Source organism: Homo sapiens, chromosome 22 (genome assembly GCF_000001405.40).
Source record: "Homo sapiens chromosome 22, GRCh38.p14 Primary Assembly".
Taxonomy (NCBI): Eukaryota; Metazoa; Chordata; class Mammalia; order Primates; family Hominidae; genus Homo; species Homo sapiens.
The window spans coordinates 25,207,639-25,232,386 of NC_000022.11; the positions used below are offsets into that span (position 1 = coordinate 25,207,639).

Here is a 24,748-nt window from a genome sequence, read left to right on the forward strand (position 1 = left end):
TCATCCACCCATTCACCCACTCATGTGCCCATCCATTCGTCTACTCACCCATCCATCCATCCATCCACCCACCCATTCATCCACCCATTCACCCACCCATGTGCCCATCCATTCATCTACTCACCCATCCATCCATCCACCCACCCACCCATCTACCCATTCATTCATCCATCCAACTACCTACCACCCATTCATCCATCCATGCATCCATCCATCCATCCATTCATCCACCCACTTACCCATCCATCCATTCATTCTTCCTTCCATCTTCCTATATTTGTTCTTTCCATTAATTCATCCATTTTTCCTTCCACTCACGCATCTTTCTATCTATCCTTTTATCCACTTATCCATCAATTTTTCTTTCAATCTACTTGTCCATCAATGTGTCCATCTGATCTTCCTTCCTTCCTTCCTTTCTTCCCTCCTTCCTTCCATTCATCTATCCATTATTTCCCCTTCCACCTCTCTGTGGGTCAGTCTCTGTTGTCATTAATGTATTCAGCAAATGCCATGCCCTGTTCAGTGTATTCAGCAAATGCCATGCCCTGTTCAAGGCCTAAGGACAGGGCACAATGTCCTGCCCTCCAGGTTCTCACCTTCTGTGGGAGAGACAGAAAGTAAATAAACAGGTCGATGAGGGCTATAATGTTGGGAGGCGGTAAATACCAAGAACAATAAAGCTGGATAAAAATATGGAAGTGATGGGGGTGGTGGCCAGGAAACTCTGTGCAAAGGAGCCGAGTCCTCAGTGAACCACCAGAACATTCCAGGCAGAGAAATAACAGGTGCAAAGGCCCTAGGCAGGAGTATGCTGGCCTAATGGGAAACAGCCAGGGGCCCAGCAGGTCTGGAATGGAGTAAAAGACTGGGGATAGGGTTCAGAGGGAACAGGGTCAGGTCATTTAGGGCTTTGCAGAACCTAGTGGACTTTGCTTGTTCTCTGAGGGAGGTGGGAGCCATGGAGCATTTGAGCAAAGTGAGCCGTGGTCTGCAGTGGGGTTTAATAGGATCACTCTGGCTAGGGTGCAAATCATACACTTAGTGGCCAAGGAGGGATGCAGAGAGACCAGTTGGGAGGCTACTGCAGAGAGTCTCGTGAGCTGTGTTTGTGCGGTCCACCTGAGCCTCTCTCTCTCATGCCTCAGTATCTCTGTCCCCTTGCCCAGAGGCCTTCTGCAGCCTCGCCTGGGGTACTGAGTGCCCATCCCACCTCCCCCCACTGACCACTGCTCTGGGCCCCCGTGGCTTCATCTGGGCAGTGGGAGTTGCTGAAGAGCTGAACAGAGACACTGGGGCAGTGCCAGGCATAAATGAGGCCTTTGTTTGTTTGTTTATTTAGAGACAGAGTCTCGCTCTGTTGCCCAGGCAGTGGCGCAATCTCGGCTCACTGCAACCTCCACCTCCTGGGCTCAAGCAATTCTCCTGCTTCGGCGTCCCAAGTAGCTAGGACTACAGGTGCGCAGCACCACGCCCGGCTAATTTTTGTGTTTTTAGAAGAGATGGGGTTTCACCATATTGGTCAGGCTGGTCTCGAACTCCTGACCTCAGGTGGCCCACCCACTTCGGCCCCACAAAGTTGCTGGGATTACAGGCATGAGCCACCATGCTCGGCCATAATTGAGTCTCTTCTGCCCCCAGGTGGGAAGAGGAGGGGCCTCCTCTCTGATAGCCAGCTGACAACGGACTTCCTGCAGGCAGGCCCCGGCACCACCCCTCACCCGTCCCACCTCCATGAGCCAACTCTGCATCATTTCCCTGACTTTGTTCCCCTTTTGTGCCCAGAGCCTGTCTCAGCCACCTGCAGCCTCCCATTGGGTGATGTAGCTGGTGTGTGGGAGGCCTATGGGGGCCTCAGGAAGGGGTTGAAAAGGATACAGTAATTTTCAATTAATTTAACCTGCATATTTTACAAATGAGGTGAGAAATCACCTTGACTTTTCCGAGTGTATGGGAGACCTGGGCTGGGCATCAGGATCAGAGGGGGCAGGGGTGGCCCAGCCATGAGACAGATGGAAGGCAGGGGCTTGACATCCCCAGTGCGGAGATACAGCACCCCTATTGCTCACCCCTTTCTCCCCGCTGGACCCACCCCTTCCTCCCTTTCACAAGGAGAGGCCTTGTCATGCTTTATTCTTTTTATCTTTTGAGATGGGGTCTTGCTTTGTCGTCCAGGCTGGAGTGCAGTGGCGTGATCATAGCTCACTGCAGCCTCGAACTCCTGGTCTCAAGCAATCCTCTTGCCTCAGCCTCCCAAAGCACTGGGATTGCAGGCGCACACCACCATGCCCAGCTAATTTTTAAAATGTACTTTTTGTAGAGATGAGGGTCTTGCTGTATTGCCCAGGCTTGTCTCAAACTCCTGGCCTCAAGTGATCTTCCCGCCTCAGTCTCCCAAAGTGTTGGGATTATAGGCATGAACGAGATGCCATCCAGTCTGTTGTGCTTTTTTTTTTTTTGAAGCAGAGTCTCACTCTGTCACCCAGGCTGGAGTGCAATGGCTCGATCTCGGCTCATGGCAACCTCCGCCTCCCAGGTTAAAGCAATTCTCCTGCCTCAGTCTCCTGAGTAGCTGGAATTACAGGCATGTGCCACCACACCAGGATAATCTTTGTATTTTTAGTAGAGACAGGGTTTTACCATGTTGGCCAGGCTGGTCTCAACTGCTGACCTCGTGATCCACCCATCTCAGCCTCCCAAAGTGCTGGGATTACAGGCGTGAGCCACCGCGCCCGGCCTGTCATGCTTTATAAATCAGTGCTTACATCATCTCACTGAACCCTAAGAATGTCATTGGGAGGTAGGTGTGGTTATTAATTCTATTTAACAGATGAAGAAACAGGCTCAGGGAGGCAACATCACCTTCCTAGAGCCACACAGATAAGAAGTGGTAGAACTGAGACCTGAATCCATTCCTGAGTGCCATACACTCTGATGTATCCATCAAGGACCGTAAGTCACCAGGGAGATATAGATGAAAATAACATAAGCAGTTGCAGCAGAAACAACGGTAATAATAGCTGCCACTGTAGAGCTGCGGCTAAACCCCAAGCACATTATTGAGTGCTCTAGAGTTTCATCTCGACTCTACAGACAGGCAATAGTGATCCTCATATGCAGGGAGAGAAACTGAGGCCCAGAGAGCTGAAGCAAATTGCCCCAAGTGCCACAGCTCTTAAGTGATGGGACCAGGACTCATATTCAGGTCTGTCTCCAAAGCCCGTTTCTCTATATTCATCAGCTGTTGATGCTGTGCTCGGCCAACCTAATGCCACTGCTGGTGTGGGCAGTGACTTCATTTATTGAGCATGTACTATAGTCTAGGCACCAGGCCACAAGCTGTCCATGCCTGATCTCAGTTAACACCAACAGGCCCCTTGACTGGCTCCTGGGTAACAGGAAGGATTACAGGGAGGCTGGCTCAAGTGTGAGTCAGTGTGCCCACTCACCATGCCCACTCCCAGGCCAAACGCAGCCCCAGGATCTGGAGTTGGGTTGATTCCAGAGGTGGGGTTCAGCTGCACTGCCAGATTCATGGCAGCCCCAGGCAGTCACTGATGTCCAAGTGACTCTTTCTGAAGCCTCACACCCATAATAACCATTTGTGCCAGGAAGCTCTTGTTATTTGCAAGTACTCCCATACATTGTCTTGTTCAGTCCTCAGCTCCAAGAGGCTCAGAGCGGGGAAGCCAACTGCTGAGGTCACACAGCCAGCGAGGGGCAGAACTGGGATTTGACCGCAGGCCTAACTCCAAAAGGCTGCTCTTAGCCCCAACCTAGACTCAAATATTTTTTTTTTTTTGAGATGGAGTCTTGCTCTGTCACCCAGGCTGGAGCACAGTGGTGCAATCTCGGCTCACTGCAACCTCTGCCTCCATGGTTCAAGCGATTCTCCTGCCTCAGCCTCCTGAGTAGATGGGACTACAGGTGTGCTCCACCACACCCTGCTAATTTTTTAGTAGAGATGGGGTTTCACTATGTTGGCCAAGTTGGTCTGGAACTCCTGATCTCATGATCCACCCACCTCAGCCTCCCAAATTGCTAGGATTACAGGCATGAGCCACTGCGCCCAGCCCTCAAATTTTGTCTTCTATGGGGCAGAACCTGAGAGTGACAGTGAAGCAAGAATATCCCTCAGTTATAAGCGAATGAGGTTTAGCGCCAAGAGATCATTTTACCAGCTTAATTGAGAGGCAGTATTGCTCAGTGATTGCAGGCAGTAGAGTCAAGTGATAGGAGGCAGAGTGGCTGAGTTAGGCTCTTGATTTACACCACCTGGTTTCCTCTCCTAGCTCTACCACTCACTGTTTGCCTTTGGGCAAGTCACTTAACCTCTCTGTGCTTCTGTTGCCTCATCTGTAACATGGAGATAATAATGCTACCTATCTCATAAGGTTGTTGCCGGTAGTAACCGGAGTTTACTTTGCAGAAAGGGCTTAGAACAATGAGTAAAACCAAGGACGTGCAATATGAGTGTTCATCATCCTCTTCTCTTGATCATTTTTTGACAAGAAGGAGGGCAACAGACAGGCTTCCAGAGCTCCGTTCCAGACACAGGATGCTGAAGACATGCTCCGTAGTTGTATGGAGCAGAGAGACTTTGCAGTTCCTCAATAATGGGGGTTTATTCTAAAGACATCTGTAGAAACAGGGAAATTAGAAAACTAGGCTACATGGCCACACTCAGAGAGTCCAAGTGAAAGCCCTACAAAGAGGTTCATGGCAGGGGCAGGGGGCCAGGACCCAGACAGTGAACAGGCATCATGGAGAGAGAAACTGGAGCCTGAGAGCTCCTGGGAGCTGGAGAGCTGGCTCTGTGGTCACTGCCCCCAGGAATCCACCATTAGGGGGCCTCAGCAAATGCATCCCCAAGTCTTGGCTCTCTTGGGAGGACCTTCTGGCCATTTCCTGTTGCTAGCTTCCTCTTTCCCTTGCCTTTCCGTCGGACATCTTTGATCTGCTGTCTGGATTGTAAAAGATGCTGGCTGTGCTTTTCCTACTCTGTAGACGTTACAATGTTGCTGTGTGAGGGCCACTTCCACCAGCCAGCATCCACATGCCTATGTGCCTGGAAACTCTCTCCTGTGCCTGGAGAGGTGGGAGGCAGCTATAATCTTGGCGGAATGAATACCTACTAGGAGCAACCTTCATCCAATGACTAACAGGAGCTGGGGTATCAATTCCCCAGCTCCCAGTGCTCAGGTGAGAACTTTACCAAGCATTCTTTACCATTTTGGAAGTTAATGTCACCCATGGCAATGCTACATGAGTGAATGAAAATGTCTAACGCATATTAAGTTTAATATTAGCTTCCTGTCTAAGTGTATGCATTGTAAATAGGAATAATTGCCTAACTGCTTTCTTACATCATCTGTTTGAAGCTTTTACATACCAAAATACATATTTTTATACATTCTATCCTTATTATCCTTTTATAATACAGTTAGAGTTAGGACATTTTATTATTAATTTATTTTGAAAGCATGCACGTAGATGGGTTACATTATCAATTTTATTTCAAGAGAGTAAAAGGGCTGTTACAAAAAATTGTCGTAAGAAGGGAGTGTTGTTTCTGATAGCTATGAGAACACCTTTTGATGATCTCAGAGCCTCCTTCCAGCTCTGACTCTTTTGTATCTAAAAGTTAAATATTGTTTGTCCAAGGGGAACACCAAGACCTATTCTCCTCGTGGGAGCAAGAAGATGAAGTGGAGAGGAAGGTTTGAGTCCTTTCTCTCTATGTATCTGTCAGGCTATGCTGCAGTAACAAACAGCCCCCAATTCTTGGTGGTTGAAAACAACGAAACTTATTTCTCACTCATGAAAGATGTCTAGTGCTGGTCAGCGGGGGGCTTTTCTCTACAGAGTCACTCAGGGACCCAGGCTGGTGTGGGCTCTGCCATTTTGCAATGTTGCCATCTCAGGACAGCAGAAGAGAAGAGAGCACTAGAAAGTGTGGCTCCTGTAATAAGATGATTTCACCTGGAAATTACACCAGTCATGTTTGTTCAGAATCCACTGACCAGAATGAGTCACATGACACCCCCTAATTTTAAGAAGACCCAGTGATAACCCGCTCACTAATATACCCTGAATTGCCTGCCTTCCTTTCTCTGGCTCGCTTCCCCACTCCCTACTTCCTGATGCCCTCTGGGATCACTTTCCAAATAAATTATATGCACCTGAACTTGTTGTCTTAGCGTCTGCTTCTGGTAGAGCCCAAATGAAGACACCCCTGCTCTTTATCATTAATTAATTCAGTCTGTCAATACGTATTTTCTGAGCACCTACTATGTGCTAGATCCTATGTAGGCACTGGGGGCACGAAGATGACTGAGCCATGGCTCAGCTCTCCACGACCTAGCTCATTGGCTAGATGAGCAAACTACCCAGGTCACATCAAAAGCCTTTGCTTTTGGGCCAGGTGCAGTGGCCCATGACTGAAACTCAAGTACTTTGGAAGGCCAAGGCAGAAAAATTGCTTGAGGCTTGGAGTTCGCGACCTACCTGGACAACACAGTAAGACCCTATCCCTAAAAAATTTTTTTAATTAGCTGTGCACAGATGTGAAAACCTGTAGTCTGAGCTACTCAGGAGGCTGAGACAGGAGGATCACTTGAGCCCAGCAGTTGGAGCCTGCATTGAGCTGTGATAGCACCACCATGCTCCAGCCTGGGCAGCAGAGCAAGACCCTATCTCAAATTTTTAAAAAGGCAAAACATTTTGAGATCATAGGAACCTATGGGCTGTAAGTTGCACCAAGGTGGGGACCCTATCTGTATTGCTCCCCACTGAGTTCATAGTTGACACATTTGCTTGAAGTAGAAATGAATAATGAATTAGTAGAAAGAAACAGGCAGGTTGCTGACGGTCTCTGTCTTGGCACCTACTTTGAGTGTGGGAGTGAAAAGAAATAAAAAGTCTTTTAAAACATTGCCATCCACACAGATGTAATAATAATGAATAGCATAAAAGCTATAGTTACTGAGCGCTTTCTATAATATTTGTAAGAGCCGCTACTGAGGGCTTCACATGATTGGCTCATTTACAAAGGGTATAATTACAAATACTATAATGTCCATGGGCCAAAATATTTAATTCTTCGCAAGTGTGGGAAACTGAGGTAAGAGAAGAGAAGTAGGCTAGGCTGAAGGTTTTGGAGTCTACAAATCCTGATCTCTGAGTTCAAATCCCAGCTCTACCACTTCGTGGCTGTGAGCCTTTGGGCAAGAAAGTCTCCTCTCTGAGCCTCACTTTGCTTATCTGTAAAAATAGGAATAATAAACATCTCCCTAGCATGTTTTACCACTCCTATCAGCCAGTGAAAACCCTGACTGCTTCCTCAATGAGAATAATAGGTTGGTGCAAAAGTAAATGTGGTTTTTCCCATCAAAAGTAACGCCAAAACCCATGATTACTTTTGCACCAACCTAATACATGGTGCAGGGACCAAGTGTTGGGAACAGGCCCCCAAAATCTGGCCATAAACTGGCCCCAAAACTGGCCATAAGCAAAATCTCTGCAGCACTGTGACATGTTTGTGATGGCCATGATACCCACGCTGGAAGTTTGTGGGTTTACCAGAATGAGGGCAAGGAACACCTGGCCCGCCCATGGTGGAAAATCACTTAAAGGCGTTCTTAAACCACAAACAATAACATGAGCAATCTGTGCCTTAAGGATATGCTCCTGCTGCAGATAACTAGCCAGACCCATCCCTTTATTTCAGCCCATCCCTTTGTTTCCCATAAGGAATACTTTTAGTTAATCTATAATCTATAGAAACAATGCTTATCACTGGCTTGCTGTTAATAAATACATGGGTAAATCTCTGTTCGAGGCTCTCAGCTCTGAAGGCTATGAGACCCCTGATTTCCCATTCCACATCTCCATATTTCTGTGTGTGTGTCTTTAATTCCTCTAGCGCCACTGGTTAGGGTCTCCCTGACCGAGCTGGTCTTGGCACCAAGGACCTCATTTCTTATGGGGAAATTGAGGCCTGGAGAAGAAAAACTTCACTAAATTCCCAGAGCTCAGTAGGAAGCTTTATAGTTTAAAAGTTAAGAACGTTTATCTTGAAGTCAGACTGATGTAAGTTCAAGCACTGGTCCTACCACTTCCTGGCTGTGTGACCTCGAACAAGTTACTTAAGCTCTATGAGCCTTAGCTTCCTTATCTGTATTAGGGGACATTAATAATACCTACTTCAAAGATAGTTGTGAGGATTGAATTAATGGAACCAGACAGTTTCAGGGCTTAATCCATAAAGCCTAGTCCTACTACTCACTAGCTGTGCAAATTTGGGCAAGTGGCTTAGTCTCTCTGAGCCTCAATTTTCTCTTTTATAAAATGGAATGATCAATAAATACAATACTTACATCTTGAGTTTGTTGGGAGGATTAAAAAAAGATGAGTATGGACAGTGCCTGACTCATGTCAAGCTCTGATACAATCGAAATGTTAGGAATTCTTTCTTATTTATAAGGACACAGCCAGGTCTTGAATCCATTCATTTACTCAACAAATATTAACTGAGGTCTATTATGGGCTGACCTGTGTCCATAAAAGATATTCCAAAGTCCTAACCCCCAGTACCTCAGAATGTGACCTTCTATTTGGAAATAGGGTCTTTACAGAAGGAACCAATTTGAAACAAAGTCATCAGGGTGAAGTTGCCTAGTGAAGTCACCTAAGCCAACATGACTGGTATCCTTATAGGCACAGAAATTTAGACATAGAATCAGCCATGCACTAAGGGAAGATGATGTGAAGATACAGGGAGAAGACAGTCACGTGATTAAAGTGATGCACCTCCCATCCAAGGAACATGAACAATTACCGGCAAACACAAAGGGCTGGGAGAGACAAGGAAGGACCCTCACCTAGAACCCCTGGAGCAGGCATGGCCCTGCTGACAGCTTGATGTCAGGCTTCCAGCCTCCAGAATTACACAACAATAAACTTCTGGGGTTTTTTGGGGGACATTTTTGTGGTAAAATACTGCATAGCATAAAATTAACCATTTTAACCATTTTTAAGAGTACAGTTCAGTGGCATTGTTATGGGACCATCACCACTATCCATCCCCAGCTTTTCCATCATCCCAAACAGAAACTCTGTACCCATTAAACAATAACTCCCCATTCCCCGCTCCTCCCAGCCCCCAGTAACCTCTATTCTACTTCCAGTCTCCATGAATTTGCCTACCCTAGGTAACTTATGTAAGTGGAATCATACAATATTTGTCCTTTTGTGTCTGGTTTATTTCACTTTGCATAACATTTTCAAACCTCATCATGTTGGAGTCAGAATTTCCTTTCTTTTTAAGGCTGAATAATATTCCATTGTATGGATAGACCACATAGTGTTTATCCATTCATCCGTTGATGGACATTTGGGTGGTTTCCATCTTTCGGCTATTGTGAATAATGCTGCTATGAACATGGGTGTGTAAATATCTCTTCAATTCCCTGCTTTCAATTCTTTGGGGCACGTGCACAGAAGTGGAATGGCTGGCTCATATGGTAATTCTATGTTGGATTTTTTTTTTTTTTTTGAGACAGCCACACTGTTTTCCGTAGTGGCAACACCATTTTACATTCCCAATTTCTGTTGTTTTTAAGCCACTTAGTTTGTGACACTTTATTACAGCAGCCCTGGGATTTATTTTATGTTATTTATTTATTTATTTTCTTTGAGACAGAGTTTTGCTCTTGTTGCCTAGGTTGGAGTGCAATGCCATGATCTTGGCTCACTGCATCCTCTGCCTCGTGGGTTCAAGTGATTCTCCTGCCTCAGCCTCCCGAGTAGCTGGGATTACAGGCATGTGCCACCATGCCCGGCTAATTTTGTATTTTTAGTAGAGACGGGGTTTCTCCATGTTGCTCAGGCAGGTCTCGAGCTCCCAACCTCAGGTGATCCGCCTGGCTTGGCTTCCCAAAGTGCTGGGATTACAGGCGTGAGCCGCTGTGCCCGGCCAGCCCTGGGATTTTAAAACAAGTACCTACTATGCGTCAGGCACTGGGCTCTGGAGATACCATGGTAAACCAGGGGGACAACTTCTTTGCTTTTGTGGTGCTTATCTTCTCATTGGAAAGACAGAAAATAAATGAGTAACAGAATGTTGGGTAGTGATGAGTGCTGCAAAAGGAAAAGCCCAGCTAGGGGGCTGGGGCATGTGTGTGTAGTGTGTGTGCATGCGTGTGCATGCATATGTGCATTAAGAAAATGAGAGACAGGGGAAAGCAGGTATACTTGACCCAGTCTCCAAGCCTCAGATTGGATCAAGACACAGCCTGGGCTGCAAGGAAGGTGTGTGCACTAAAGAAACATGAGTAAAGGCCGGGCGCGGTGGCTCACGCCTGTAATCCCAGCACTTTGGGAGGCCGAGACGGGCGGATAATGAGGTCAGGAGATCGAGACCATCCTGGCTAACACAGTGAAACACCGTCTCTACTAAAAATACAAAAAATTAGCCGGGCGTGTTGGCGGGCGCCTGTAGTCCCAGCTACTAGGGAGGCTGAAGGAGGAGAATGGTGTGAACACGGGAGGCAGAGCTTGCAGTGAGCTGAGATCGTGCCACTGCACTCCAGCCTGGGCGACAGAGCGAGACTCCATCTCAAAAAAAAAAAAAATAGAAAAGAAATGTGAGTAAAGGCTGGGCACCCATGTGGCAGCGATGGGGCCAGTGGTAGGGATCTAAGAGCAACTCACTCTAGGACAGTGGTTAAGAAACAGGCCGGGTGCAGTGGCTCATGCCTGGAATCCCAGCACTTTAGGAGGCCAAGGTGGATGGATTGCCTGAGCTCAGGAGTTTGAGACCACCCTGGGCAACATGTCAAAACCCTGTCTCTAACAAGATACAGCAAAAAAAAGAATTTAGCTGGACCTGGTGGCGCACACCTGTAGTCCCAGCTACTGGTGAGGCTGAGGCAGGAGAATCGCTTGAACCTGGGAGGCAGAGGTTGCAGTGAGCCGAGATCACACCACTGCACTCCAGCCTGGGTGACAGAGTGAGATTCCATCTCAAAAGAAAGAAAGAGAAAGAAAGAAAGAGAGAGAGAGAGGGGGAGAGAGAGAGAGAGAGAGAGAGAGAGGGGAGAGAGAGAGAGAGAGAGAGAGAGAGAGAGAGAGAGAGAGAGAAGAAAGAAAGAAAGAAAGAAAGAAAGAAAGAAAGAAAGAAAGAAAGAAAGAAAGAAAGAGAAAGAAAGAAAGAAAGAAAAGAAAGAGAAACAGCCAGGGGCCTTGAGAATAAAATGCACTCTCCATAATTGGCCTCCCTGGCCCTGCAACATCAGGCCCTGCCCACCTTGGCCACCTGGCACAGGCCCTATTTGTCACATGTCATGCTTTAGCTTTGTTAACCTGTTTTCAGGTCTTCTTGAAATACACCATGCTGGTTCCTTGTATATGGACCCTTTCTGCTTGGAACTGTCCCCCCACCCTGTTCCCAGGCTTCCTCTTCTCCATCCCTGAGGGATGCGCTACCTCCCAGGAGCTTTTCTGAATGGCCTGGGCTGGCGTAGGTCCTCTTCCTGACACTCCCCTGGAACAGAGATTGTCACCAAGTGGATGCCCAACAAATATTTGTTGAATGAATAAATGGGTAGATGAATGAAGCCCAGACTCTGCCAAACCACCCTTCTTTACTTGTTCTTCCCCAGGCCCACTGAGATGTTCCTCTGTCTGCCATGCCTCACGGCCTGACTGACCGTACCAGTGAACCCAGCGTACCCCTGGCCCTGGCAGCCGGACGGCTGATGCATGCAAAGCGGGCATCTCCTTGCCCAGCCGCCTGACCGCCCTGGCGCGGCCGAATCTGAAAGCTAATGACATTATTGTGCAGAGACACAATGTCTGTGGGCATTTGCTGACCCGAGCTTTGGTGAGAGCTTAATCCAGCATTCTCACCCTGCTTTTCGCAGGAGCACAGCGGTCACTCATCTTGGCACCGGCACTTCTGGGGAAGGTATAAATGCCACCTCCCGCTGGCCGAGCTTCACGGCACTCGCAGGGGCTGGTGTCACTGGTAAGATTGCCTCTCTTGCTTGTCTTCCCTTCTTTCTCTCATCCTCACCCCTGTCCGCAAGCATGGGAGCACCCAGATTCTGACAAGTGACTTTGGGCAGAGACTTCAATGCTGTTAGCCTCAGTTTTCTTTTCTGGTAACTGGGAAGGGGGTTAAAAAGCCTTCTTTATTGTAAGGATTCAAGAGAAGTTAGGGGATCATCCAGCACAGTGCCTGGCACACAGTGGGCATTGGGGCAATGTTCTTTATTATTAATATTAAACAGACTATCAGCATCCTTGTTTCGCCAGTCGCTGAGGAGGAGAATGTAACTGAGGGTTTTGCAAGAATCAAACCAGTGACAGTTCAGCATTGTTTCTAGGTGGGTGAGTCAGTTTTCCTCCACATCTGCAATTAGGGGGCACCCACTCTGTGCCTAGCCTCTGGGAGTGCTAGGGGATAGGATGCAGCCACAGGTATGTGACAGGTCCCAGCAACAGGTGATTTCAATGCCACTAAAGCATGGTAGAAATGACTCTAATAATGCCACAATTGCTGCCATTTGCTGCATGCTGAGTGTGTTCTGGGACCACGGCCAAGTGCTTCCGGTTTTATACATTACATAATTGAATCCTCACAACCTGTTCACAGGTATTATTAGACATCATTACTGTCCCCATTTTATAGAACAGGAAGTTGAGGCATAGGGAGAGGATGAGACCTGCCCAGAGTCTCAATTCTGGCAGGCAGCAGAGACTGCTCCTGAACTGGACCAACTGAGCTTCTTCAGTCTGTGAACACTCAGGACTGGGAAGTGATATGGCAGGACCTCAGGCACTCTGACAAGCCCAGAGGGCTGGTTTCTTGCGGGAGAGCAGTAGATTTGGCTGCCAAGGTGCTTAACTGCATTTCTTCCTCCTGGGAAACATCCAGTATTGGCCTTTCATGTGGAAGGGGCTTCTGGAAGCTGGCGTTATCTCTGAAGAGGGAGGCCAGGCTTCCTCTCTTACCCCTGGGGAAACACAGCCTGGTTTGACCACCCCTTCTGCAGGAAGGGGGAAGAGGCTGACAATTTTCCAGGCTTTTCTGATGTTCTCACTAGCTAAGGCAGGTCTACCCTGCTGCCTGCCACAGTGCCTGGATTTCTACCGTCGCACCCATTTCTTCTCTTTCTTGTAATGTGGGTTCTGTATCAGATGATTTCACTAATGGGGGAGTAAAACCAGTGGCAGAGAAGAGAAATCTAGGTACCAGGATGGGGAGAGGAGTCCCAGGGAGAGGGTGGGAGAAGGAGCAGGGGAACAGGGAACTTTGTGAGTTCCTAAACTGGGCACCACCACACCACCAAATACAGCCAATGCATAGGTTTTGTTTGTTCCACACAATTTTATTTAAGAAATTACTGCATAAAGGCAGAAGTTCTGGGATTGACCATTCTATATTCTGTGTGGTATCCATTGTCTGGGGTTGAGTGTTGGGAACCCACTTTGGACCTCATTTAAGCTCTAGTTTATTACTGCTCTCTTTCTTTGAGTAGACCTCGTTTTTCCCTCCTCCTGCAGCTGGCCTGGATAGAAATAAATGAAGCTAAGGACAGAAGTTGAAGTAGCTGCTTACGGACCCCACAGCTCTGGGACAGTCTGAAACCAGGAGAAAAAGAGAATGTTTGGGGCCAGAGGGGAGTGGTCTCAAGGCCCCACAGAGTGAAAAAGCCAGTGGCCCCTCCAGGTCCTCACTGCTGCTTCCCATGTCTTCCAGGTCATTCCTGCACAGGACAGTCCACCATGGCCTCAGATCACCAGACCCAGGCGGGCAAGCCACAGTCCCTCAACCCCAAGGTGGGTACCTCTCAGAGGAGGGGGCATGCAATGCTCCTCCCCCAGACTTAGTTGCCCTTCTGTAAAATGGGCTTGGCATCTTTCTTCATGGGTACCCCCTCTCGACCCCTGCCCCTCTCTGGGACTCAGTCTCCTCTACCCACACAGTTGGAGCTGATACTGAAAGTCCCTCCCCAGCCCATAGCTGGCATGCTGGGATTCCCAGTACCAGCCTCTGGCTTTGGAGACTTCAGTTTCTCTCTCCCTTACCTGTTTTGCCACACCCTATTGTCTACAGGGCTCCCTGAAACTGGAGCAGACCCTCATTCTCAGTCAGAGATGGGATTAGTAGATGGAAGGTGGGTGTGAGTCCTGGCTCTGCACCTGCTGTGTGATCCGGGCCAATTATTTGATCCCTCTGAGCCTCAGTTCCATCTCTATAAAAGGAGGAGTCAGATTTATTGCACAGGGAAGTTGTGAGAGCCAAAGAAACCAGGCTCAGCCTAACACCCGGCCTGGGGTGCGCATCCACCTAACACCAGCAAATAATGCCGCCTTTGATTTCTCATCCACCTGTCCACCCAAGGGCGGCAGGATCTTATCCCAACGTCAGAGGCTTGTCACACCCAGTCTGCCCTCAAACCTCTATCTAGGCACGGCCACCTGACTGCCCTCCTGTGCCTCCCTGCTTTGGTAGCCCCGGGCACAGGTTCCTTCAGGAATGGCCCCTTTGTCTGACTCAGTGCCTCCTGGGCCAGGGAAGCCTGAGCAGATACAGCCCCTCACCTGCTCACCCCAATCTGTCCCTTTTAGGGCTTACTTTCCAGAAGAAGGACAGACAATAAATAAATGAATATATGATTTCCAGTAGTGAGAAGTGCTACAAACAATTGTAAACTAGGGGAAGGGGCTCCTGAGAGTCACAGTGGTTGTGTTAGCTCAGGTGGTCCAGGAGGGTCTCTCTGAGGAGCTGACTTTGAGCAGACACCTGGGTCAAGTGAGGAAGCGGCTATATGAAAATTGGGGGTGCCTTTGCCAGGCCGAGGTGGGAGGACTGTTTGAACCCAAAAGTTTGAGCCCAGCCTGGGCAACATAGTGAGATCCCATCTCCACAGAAAAATGAAAAATGGGGGTCAGGGTTGATGAGAGCATCCAGACAAAAGGAACAGCAGGCGCAAAGACTCCGAGGTGGGAATGAACTGGGTGAGTTTGGAAAAAAGCAAGAAGCTCTGTCCACTAGACCTATAATGTGAGCCACATAGGTAATGCAAAATGTTCTAGTAGCCACATCATAAAAAGTAAAAAGAAATAGGTGAAATTAATTTTCATATTACATTTTATGAAACCCAATATATCCAAAAGATGAGCATGTTAATGTATAATCAATATAAGAATTATTAGGCAGATATTTTACATTATTTTTTCCATTCTGAATTTTCAAAATATGATGTGTATGTTACGCTTATAGCACAGTATAAGTAATAATATGGACTAATTACATGTGCTCAGTAGCCATATGTTACTAATGGCTGCTGTGTGGGACAGTGCAGGCTTAAAGGATTGGATAATTTGTAAAATTTTGCCCTCTACTCTATTGATTAATAACAACGCTATTGAGCTCCTGGGTCCTCTGAGCTTCTGGGCTTTCAAATGCATGGAGAAACTGCTCTTCCTCACCTGCCTACCCCTATTCAGGTGGGCACCCCAGGCCTGCTACCTCAGAAACTGCATTTGATCAAGATCCCAGTGTTGTGTGCACAGGTTAGAGTCTGCAAAGTGCTGCTTCAATTTCATCTGCATCAGACAAGTCTGGGCTTCAATTTCAGCTCTTCCACTTATTCACGTGGGATCTGTAGCATGTCTTTTAATTAACATAATTATGTCTCCCACAAGCAGCGCAAATACTATGTGCTAACCACCCACAAGCCCTGGTCTCCCAGGCCAGGGTAATAATAAACTCTAGCCCCGAACTTCCACATTCTTGAGTCCCCATTTGACAGATGAGGGACCTGAGGCCCAGAGTATTGAATTGCTTTTTAGGTTTGTGCAACTGGATGTAACAGAGGACACATTGGAGCCCTTGTCTCCTGACCCTATCTCTGGCCGAGTCAGTGACCGTAAAGGGCTGGGTCACTGACTGTAAAGGCTGGATTGAGCCCGTGGAATTTGCCTCTAAGCCCTGTGCCTTTCCCTTTCTTTGTGTGGCTAATCCCAGGCCTGGGAGAGAGGGCTATGTTTACCCAGCCTGTGCTGACCGTGTCGATTCTGTAGCTGCCCCGACTGAGAGTGTGCTGACCTGAGCCCATCTTTTCATCCAGGGGCAGTTTGCTGGGGAAGTGTGGCTGGAAAACCTCTGCCTCCAAAATTCTCACTGGAGGCCGGGCGCGGTGGCTCACGCCTGTAATCTCAACACTTTGGGAGGCCGAGGCAGGCAGATCACGAGGTCAGGAGATCGAGACCATCCTGGCTAACTTGGTGAAACCCCATCTCTACTAAAAAAATACAAAAAAAATTAGCTGGGCGTGGTGGCAGGCGCCTGTAGTCCCAGCTACTCAGGAGGCTGAGGCAGGAGAATGGCGTGAACCCAGGAGGCGGAGCTTGCAGTGAGCCGAGATCGCGCCACTGCACTCCAGCCTGGGCGACAGAGTGAGACTCCGTCTCAAAAAAAAAAAACAAAAAACCTCACTGGAACCATGAAAGGTGGCAGCTAGCATCATGGTTAATGCTTGGATGTGGGATGTTGGGTGGGTCCCTTCACTTTGCAGAGCTTCAGTTTCCCTGATGGGGATCCCATGAGCCCCCTCCCTTGGGCTGATGAGAACATTAGGTTTGAGTGTTAGAATTTGCAACATGCTGCTTCCATTTCAGCTGCATCAGACAAGCCTGGGCTCCAGTTTCAGCTCTGCCACTTACTGGAATCTGTACCATATTTCTTAATTAACATAATTATGTCTTAATTATGTCATAATTAGTTCTCCCACAAGCAGAGCAAATACTGTGTGCTAACCATTATGCTCCCCTGAATCCTTCTAACAAACAATATCACAAGGCAGTTTCTCTCTTTGTTTCTTTTTCTTTTTAAAAAAATTAGAAGTGGGGTCTTCCCATCTTGCCCAGGCTGGTCTGGAACTCCTGGGCTCAAGCAATCCTCCCACCTCAGCCTCCCAAAATGCTGAGATTACAGGGGTGAGCCCACCACACCTGGCCTAGGTTCTGTCTTTATTTCCCATTTTACAGACGGGGAGACTGACGCTCAGAGAGGAGAAATGCAGGCTCAAGGTCCCACGGCTGCTTATAGCCAGAGCCAGGGCTGTTTGATTTTATGTTTGATTTGTCACTCTGGAGGTGAACCCTTCAGCATCCTTTGGGTTCTCTGAGCTCCCTCCCCACGTCTACCACCCAGTTCTCACTCCTCTTCATCGTGATGAGGGTCTGAGTCTCGCTTCCTCTTGCAGATCATCATCTTTGAGCAGGAAAACTTTCAAGGCCACTCGCATGAGCTCAATGGGCCCTGCCCCAACCTGAAGGAAACTGGCGTGGAGAAGGCAGGTTCTGTCCTAGTGCAGGCTGGACCGTAAGTACCTGGGTGGCCTCTCCTGGTCAGGGACTTTGGGTGAGGTGATCAAGTTGTGGAGTGGGGGAATCTACCCTTGCTCCTGTCTGCAAATCTGGGAACCAAGTTTTGGGGTCTGGCAGCCTATGGAGATAATTCATGCTTTGCAGTCAGATAGAGCTGGGTTCAAATCCAGGTTCCACCCCTTCTGGGTTGTGTGGTGTTGGACCAGGACCTTCCCCCTCTGAGCCTCAGTTTCCTCCTCTGTAGGATGAGGCTAACCATGTACTCTGGGGATGAAGGGAGAGGGTCATGTGGAAAGCCTGATACAGAGGTCAGCCACTTCCTCAAGGCAGGAAGATGGACATAGTGACTGATGAAGCTTTTAGAACTGCCAATCTCTGGCTCCAGGAGTGTCCTCACTCCTGGGAGGTTTAAGGCTGGATGTTCCAGCCCTGCATCCACTCCTCCCTTCCCGAATCCTGACAATGCTGGGTCTTTACAGATTTTTTGGCACACTTGGGGGCCAGGTCTCTATCCAAGAGAGAAGGGGAGCTGAATGGTTGGCTCACCTTATGTGATGTAGCTGAGCATAGTCCTATGTGAGCCTGCAGAGTCTGGGACACAAAACCACAGTTTCTCTCGTCACTCCTTCTCTGTAAAAGCCTCAGGATGTAGGAATGTCCGCTGGTGGCCAGTAAGTCAGATATGGCTGGAAATCCTAAGGTGACCTATACCACACCTCAAGGTTCTCAGGGAATTTTGCAGAGTTCCATGGTCCTACATAGGTCAGAACCTGAAGATGTGCAGAACACAGCTAAAGCAGTGGCCCTGCCAAGCCTTGGTCATCTGACATGCTCAGGGAATCTGTTGTGTCCAAGAGAATCCCTTTCTGGATAGCTGAGATTTGACCGTTTAAGCACCACATCTGACTTTCAGCTGCCTTTTCAAACATTTTGATGAAAAAAAATTTCCCAAAGAGATTTTACACTCTTCTTCTTTCTTTTTTAAAAAATATAACATTTAGTATTTTTATTAATTATCGTTTATTTTAAAACTAAGAAGATATGGTTTAAGGCAAAAAACCGTATGACTTGTATTCACTACTCAGAAGTAACCATTATTAAGATTTTGGTATGAATTTGGATTTCTCTGTGTGTGTGTGTGTGTGTGTGTGTGTGTGTGTGTGTGTATAATCAAATCAAACTTGGATCATACTAAACATAATGTTTTATTACTCACTTTGGAAACTTTACAAGGTAGCATGGACTCTCTCCATGTCATTAAATAGCATTTTATGTTGGTGTTTTTCAAAGTAGTTTGAGGAAAATTAGCATCAGATTCACAGAAGGGAGATGCTTTAAAATGGAGGTTCTTGGGCCCCACTTAAGCCCCACTAAATCAAACTGAGCTCTGGAGCCTGGAATCTGCATTTAACAAGCTTACCTGGTGATAGTTACGCCAATTACATTTGAGAACCCACATCCTATGTCATTACTTACCATGGCTTTGTAACAGTCCATGATTGAATATGCCATATCCAGGTCCTGATTGTAGGATGTTTAAGTTTTTCAGTTACTGGATATTATAAACAATGCCACAGTGAACAGACTTATTCAGATATCTGTGACCCCTTGACAACTGTTTTTGTTTGTTTGTTTGTTTTGTTTTGTTGAGACAGAGTTGTAGCTCTTGTCACCCAGGCTGGAGTTCAATGGTGCGATCTCAAGTCACTGCAACCTCCGCCTCCCGGGTTCAGGCAATTCTCCTCCCTCAGACTACTGAGTAGCTGGGATTACAAGCATGCACCACTGTGCTGCCTAACTTTTTGTGTTTTTAGTAGAGACGGAGTTTCACCATGTTGGCCAGGATGATCTCGAGCTACTGACCTCAGGTGATCCGCTCACCTCGGCCTCCCAAAGTGCTGGGATTACAGGCGTGAGCCACAGCGCCCAGCCCCTTGACAACTGTTTTTTAAGGACCAATTGCCTAAAGTAGAATTGCTGGATCAAGACTACTCTTCCAAAAGAGGACAATAAACACGACCTCCTCTTTTGTTAATGACTTAGATCATTCCTCTGAACAGCCATTATTGCACATTGCTGAAATGTTCGCCTCTGCACTGGTTGGTCCCAGAATGCTAATCATTTTGAGATTTGTGCCTTCTTCCTTCTATTTTCTGCTTTCCTCTATTAGCCATGCCCGACCTGAAAGCCATCCCTTCCTCTTTAATGTACTATTTTTCTTCTAATGTGGATCTACAAAAACAGAGTTTGGGCAGAGTCTAACAACAGGAACAAGAGAAGAAACAGATCCAAAGAGAGGGGCTTTGGGCACAGCGATGTTCTGGAGTCAGTTCTCAGTGGTGAAGGCTGACTGTGCATCTCTCTTCCTAACTTCACTTGCAGCCGTGTCATATTGATAGCTTGAAATCTGCCACAGTGGGAGCATTTACACCATGGAAATTGGCAAACGCTACAAATCAAGAGTGTTAATTTTCGTTTTGTTTTTTGAGAGTTGGCTATTAACTTACCAGCATACTATTGGCTTTAGTGCATGGCGTCTATATATTGGTATTTGTTGCTGGGCCGTTATTTAGACTGCCTTCTTATTTCTTAACTGTGTTCCAGGTGGGTAAAGGCAGCATAGCACTGAGTTCTAGATAACTGAGGGGATTTTGCACTTGGATTTGCTGTGCTAAGGTTTGGGTGGGGCTATTACATCTTGCCGGGCTGGGCAAGAGTGAACCCTAGGGGTCAACATCAGTAGCCAGGATTCTGCCATAGGAAGCTTGGAGTGGAACTGACCTGCCCCCTTTCTCTCTGTCTCCATGGCAGCTGGGTGGGCTATGAACAGGCCAACTGCAAGGGCGAGCAGTTTGTGTTTGAGAAGGGTGAGTACCCCCGCTGGGACTCATGGACCAGCAGCCGAAGGACGGACTCCCTCAGCTCCCTGAGGCCCATCAAAGTGGTGAGCCCCCTGCCATCACCCTACTCCCTCTCTCTGCCCATCATCCTACTTTCTCTCTCTGCCACCTTGGAGCTGGAGGTCTGGGGACCAGGAAGGGGCCCGCCCCTCTAGCACTGTGCCCCTTCTGATTGGTGAGGAACCTCCTCACTGGGTGACCTTGCAAAAGTCATTTTACTTCCCTGAGCCTCAGTTTCTTCATCTGTAAAATGGGCATATTGGTATCTACTGTCCTGAGGTTCCAATGTGCTTATTAGCTTGAGGGTTGTCACACTGCAACTCCAGAAGGCTCCAATCACAAGACTATGAAATGCTCCAGAGGGCACTATTCACATTCTATTTTAGGTGGTTGGTGCCCGCCCCCCGCGCCCAAGGGTTGGGCAACTCCCGTCATTGCTCAATAACCAATAGCCATCAGAAATACTACAAGAAATTATGAGTTTGGGGCTGGAGGAGAAGGTGGTTTAGCTCTTCTTCAAGACTCGTGCCAGTGTGAGTTTTCAGTGCTTCTGAGATCCTGATTCTTACTAGTGTGTGAGAGTGTCAACTCTCAGGAAGGGGACAGGGCCCATCACTGCTCAGTTATACTCTCAAACCCTCCAAGCCCAGTCTAGCTCCTCCCAGGACCTACTGGAAGGTTGGGGAACACGGGACTTGGCACCCCACAGACCTGGGTTCCCAAGTTGGCTGTGCTGCTCCCAGCTGTGTGGCCTTGAGCACGTCATTTGACCTCTCTGTGCCGCGCTTTCCTCATCTGCTAAATGGCATAAGAGGATTTTATGTCTGAGGGATAAGGGTTTTATGTGTAAAGGATGAGATGAGATAACTAAGGAAAATGTCATAGGGACAGGAGGATGGGAAGAGATGTAGAAATGAAGAAAAATCAAAATATCTCAGGTGCCTATTAGAGGCACAGTTAGCCTGTGCGTGTGTGTGTACATGTGTGGGTGTGCACGTGTGTGCGCGCAAGTGTGTGCGTGTGTCCATGTGTGTGTGCACGCATGTGTGGGTGTGCGTGTGTGTGCAAGTGTGGGTGTGCACGTGTGTGCGTGCGTGTGTGCAAGTGTGGTGTGCGTGTGTGCATGTGTGCGTGTGCACACATGTGTGGGTGTGCATGTGTGTGTGTGTGCATGTGTGGGTGTTCACATGTGGGTGGGTAGGTATATCGTAGCCACCATTTATAAAAGAGAAACTTGAGGAGGAAAAAATGACATTTCAGAATCAAACATTCCCCAAAGTGTTGCAGAGTGTCTGTTACATGAAAATGGCCCAGTAGAAACTTAACAAACGGCTGTGATCCAACAGCAGTGGTCATAGACACGTAGTGGGTGCACTGGGAAGAGAGTGATGTGTGGGACATGCTGATCCCAACTCTGGGGCATGAGCATGGGGTGGGAAGGCCAACCCTGGGCCCCCTCACCCATACTCACTTCCCCCCATCCTCTGCCAATAGGACAGCCAAGAGCACAAGATCATCCTCTATGAAAACCCCAACTTCACCGGGAAGAAGATGGAAATCATAGATGACGATGTACCCAGCTTCCACGCCCATGGCTACCAGGAGAAGGTGTCATCTGTGCGGGTGCAGAGTGGCACGTAAGTGCGTTGCCAGCCCTGGCTCACCCTGCCCCAGGAACTGAGACTCTGGGGTCCTAAGTCCTGCTCTGCCCTGTACACGCTGGTGATCTTGCACACATCAGTGTGCTCTGCTGACCTCTGGCTTCCCACTGGAAAGTAAATGGGAATTCTCTGCCCATAGGTGGCTTACAGCCGCTGAATTTCTTTCTAGAGCTGCCTTTGGGGAAATGGTATGCCTTTGGAGTGGAGAAACCTTGGCCTTAACCTCAGCCCCAGTGAGCAAGACATGTATGTCAGAGGGGCAAGTTGAGGCAGAGGGAGGATTAGGTTGAGGCAGGAGGGAAGGAATGAGTTGAGTAGTCTGAAAGCTATGAGAAGCAGGAGGACCAGCCCATGCTGCCTTTGACCGCGTGTGTCCCTAAGTTTGGGAACAGGAGGTGTCATTTTCCACTGAATCAAAGTTCCTGGGCACATCGACCCTGGCCATCAGCAGTGAGGGATTTCTCATGGTAATAAATTTGGATTCCATGGGGGTCCACAGATGAGCTTTGGGCAGCGGTGTGCTGGAAACAGCTTATACCAGCTTGTAAGAACTTTTTTTTTTTTTTTTAATTGAGACGGAGGCGCGCACTTTCGCCCTGGCTGGAGTGCAGTGGAATGATCTTGGCTCACTGCAACCTCCGCCTCCCAGGTTCAAGCGATTCTCCTGCCTTATCCTCCCAAGTAGCTGGGATTACAGGCGCCCACCACCAAGCTCAGCTGATTTTTTGCATTTTTAGTAGAGACAGGGTTTCACTGTGTTGGCCAGGTTAGTTTTAAACTCCTGACCTCATGACCTGCCTGCCTCGGCCTCCCAAAGTGCAGGGATTACAGGCGTGAGCCACTGTGCCTGGCCTGGAACGGACTCTTAAATTTTCAGAATCTGTGTGAACTGGTTGACTAATCATTGGTAGCTTGAAACCAGCCACAGGGTGCATTTACAGCATAGAAATCAGCAAGTGCTGCTAATTAAGGCTCTTTCCCCACAACAGAACCAATTTAGCCAAACATACTGGCTTCTTGGGGTTTGTGAAACTCCTAAAATAGTGTGCAAAGTTCTGTGCTCCTATTCCCCTTCATTCCCTCATTCATTCATTCATTCATTCAATCTGTCAGTGCTGCCATATGCCAGGCATTGTGTTAGGTGCCCAGGGTGAAGGAGATTAAAGAGATCTGGCTTCTGCCCTGTGTAGCCAACAGTCTAGAAGGGGCAACTGTAAATACTTTAAGAATTCACATGAATCTAAGCTACTTCCTTGGAGAAAAGATTCTTGAGCTGAGATCTCAAGGAACAGTAGGAATTGCAGGGGTAAAGAGGCCAAGGAAGAGCATCCCAGACAACGAGAGCAGCATGTGCAAAGGCCCTGTGGTGTGTGTGGGGGAGCCTGGTAGGTCTGAGAAACTCTACAAAGGCCATGGTGGCTGGAATGCAGAGATGTGGGAGCATAAGAATGCGAAGTAGAGCTGGAGGTGTCCACAGAAACTGGCCAGGCAGGTCCTTGCAGGCCAGGCCTGTGTGACATTTTCTGGAGAGAAGACCAGCACTTTCATTAAGTAGCCCCTGGAAACTCTTTCATCAGAAGGCCCCTGGAACCTCCCCCAACTCTTCTTTGACCTTGTAGCTGGGCTTGGAGGTGGGATAGGACTGGAGGGAGACGGTTCAAAGGCCTGGCTTATTCTAAGCTTCAGTGAGCTTAAGATATCACCCCCTTGCTCTGACCCCAGTACAGTACAGTACAGTACAGTACAGTACAGGCCTTCAGTCAAAATTTGCTTCAGGAGGCAGTGAGCTCCCCATCAAGAGAAGGAAGAAAGCAGAGGCTCAGTGCTGGAAGGGTGGGGTGGAAAGGGTGTCCTGCTTACCCTTGGGAAGTGGCAATGGTTGGGAGGCTTCACCCTTCCTAGTGGCTTATGGATGCTCTATCTCTCTCCCCTCGCCTCTCTCTCTGTCTGCTTCTCTTCCTGTCCCCCTCGTTCACCCTCCCATCACCTCTGGCCCTGCAGGTGGGTTGGCTACCAGTACCCCGGCTACCGTGGGCTGCAGTACCTGCTGGAGAAGGGAGACTACAAGGACAGCAGCGACTTTGGGGCCCCTCACCCCCAGGTGCAGTCCGTGCGCCGTATCCGCGACATGCAGTGGCACCAACGTGGTGCCTTCCACCCCTCCAACTAGTGCCCTCCCCACCATGCCTCCTTCCCAGGACCCAGGTCTGCTGCCCAGGAACCCTCCAGACCTCCCAGAGAGTGAATAAAGTGTGACTTGCAACTTGTCTGCTGTGGGTCTTTGATCTCCCCTGGCAGCTGGTGTGTGTGTGTGTGTGTGTGTGTGTGTGAGAGAGAGAGAGAGAGAGAGAGAGTGACAGCGAGAGAGAAATGAGAATCAGCAAGTACCTGTGCTAGGAGTAGGGCAACAGAACCCTTACTGAGTCTTACGGTTCTGCAGCTGCTTAGCTGTGTGACCTTGGACACAGTGCCCAACCTCTCTGAGCCTTTGTTTCTTCACCTGACTTGCAATTCCCTTGCCTCTGAGTGGCTGGCTTGGTTGAGCTCCTGAGCTCCCTGTTACATGCTGGTTGCTGAGCACAGTCACTCTCAGGGGCATGTGATGGGTGCCCCAGCCCTTAAAAACATATCCACTGCCCGTCAATCTCACATTATCACATTGTCCCCTTGAGTCTGGGGGTCTTTTTGGATCTGCAAGAGAAGCCAAGAACCCTGAAACCCCCACTCCAGCCCGGAGAGGTCAGAATGCCATGTTTGTGAGTGTGATCATTCATTCATCATATG

The 24,748-nt window shown here is 48.4% G+C and overlaps 1 protein-coding gene across 2 annotated transcripts; it reads left to right on the forward strand.

The window, feature by feature from the left end:
* CRYBB2 (crystallin beta B2) lies at positions 4,023–24,231 on the forward strand. 2 transcript variants are annotated; one of them, XM_006724141.4, is made up of 6 exons: positions 4,023–5,202; positions 13,766–13,845; positions 17,280–17,398; positions 20,215–20,347; positions 21,798–21,940; positions 23,966–24,231. In XM_006724141.4, the coding sequence occupies exons 2-6, from the start codon at positions 13,792–13,794 to the stop codon at positions 24,132–24,134; spliced, it is 618 nt and encodes a 205-aa protein (XP_006724204.1). In that variant the 5' UTR covers positions 4,023–5,202; positions 13,766–13,791; the 3' UTR covers positions 24,135–24,231. The 2 variants fall into 2 exon arrangements, with proteins under 2 accessions (XP_006724204.1, NP_000487.1); NM_000496.3 differs by lacking the exon at positions 4,023–5,202 and adding an exon at positions 12,001–12,028.

Excerpts from the sequence above, each read along its gene's own strand:
- CRYBB2 (XM_006724141.4), top strand. The coding sequence starts at position 13,792 with ATGGCCTCAGATCACCAGACCCAGGCGGGCAAGCCACAGTCCCTCAAC. Across the intron at positions 13,846-17,279 it reads CACAGTCCCTCAACCCCAAG|ATCATCATCTTTGAGCAGGA; the intron begins GTGGGTACCTCT and ends TTCCTCTTGCAG. Across the intron at positions 20,348-21,797 it reads CCCTGAGGCCCATCAAAGTG|GACAGCCAAGAGCACAAGAT; the intron begins GTGAGCCCCCTG and ends CTCTGCCAATAG.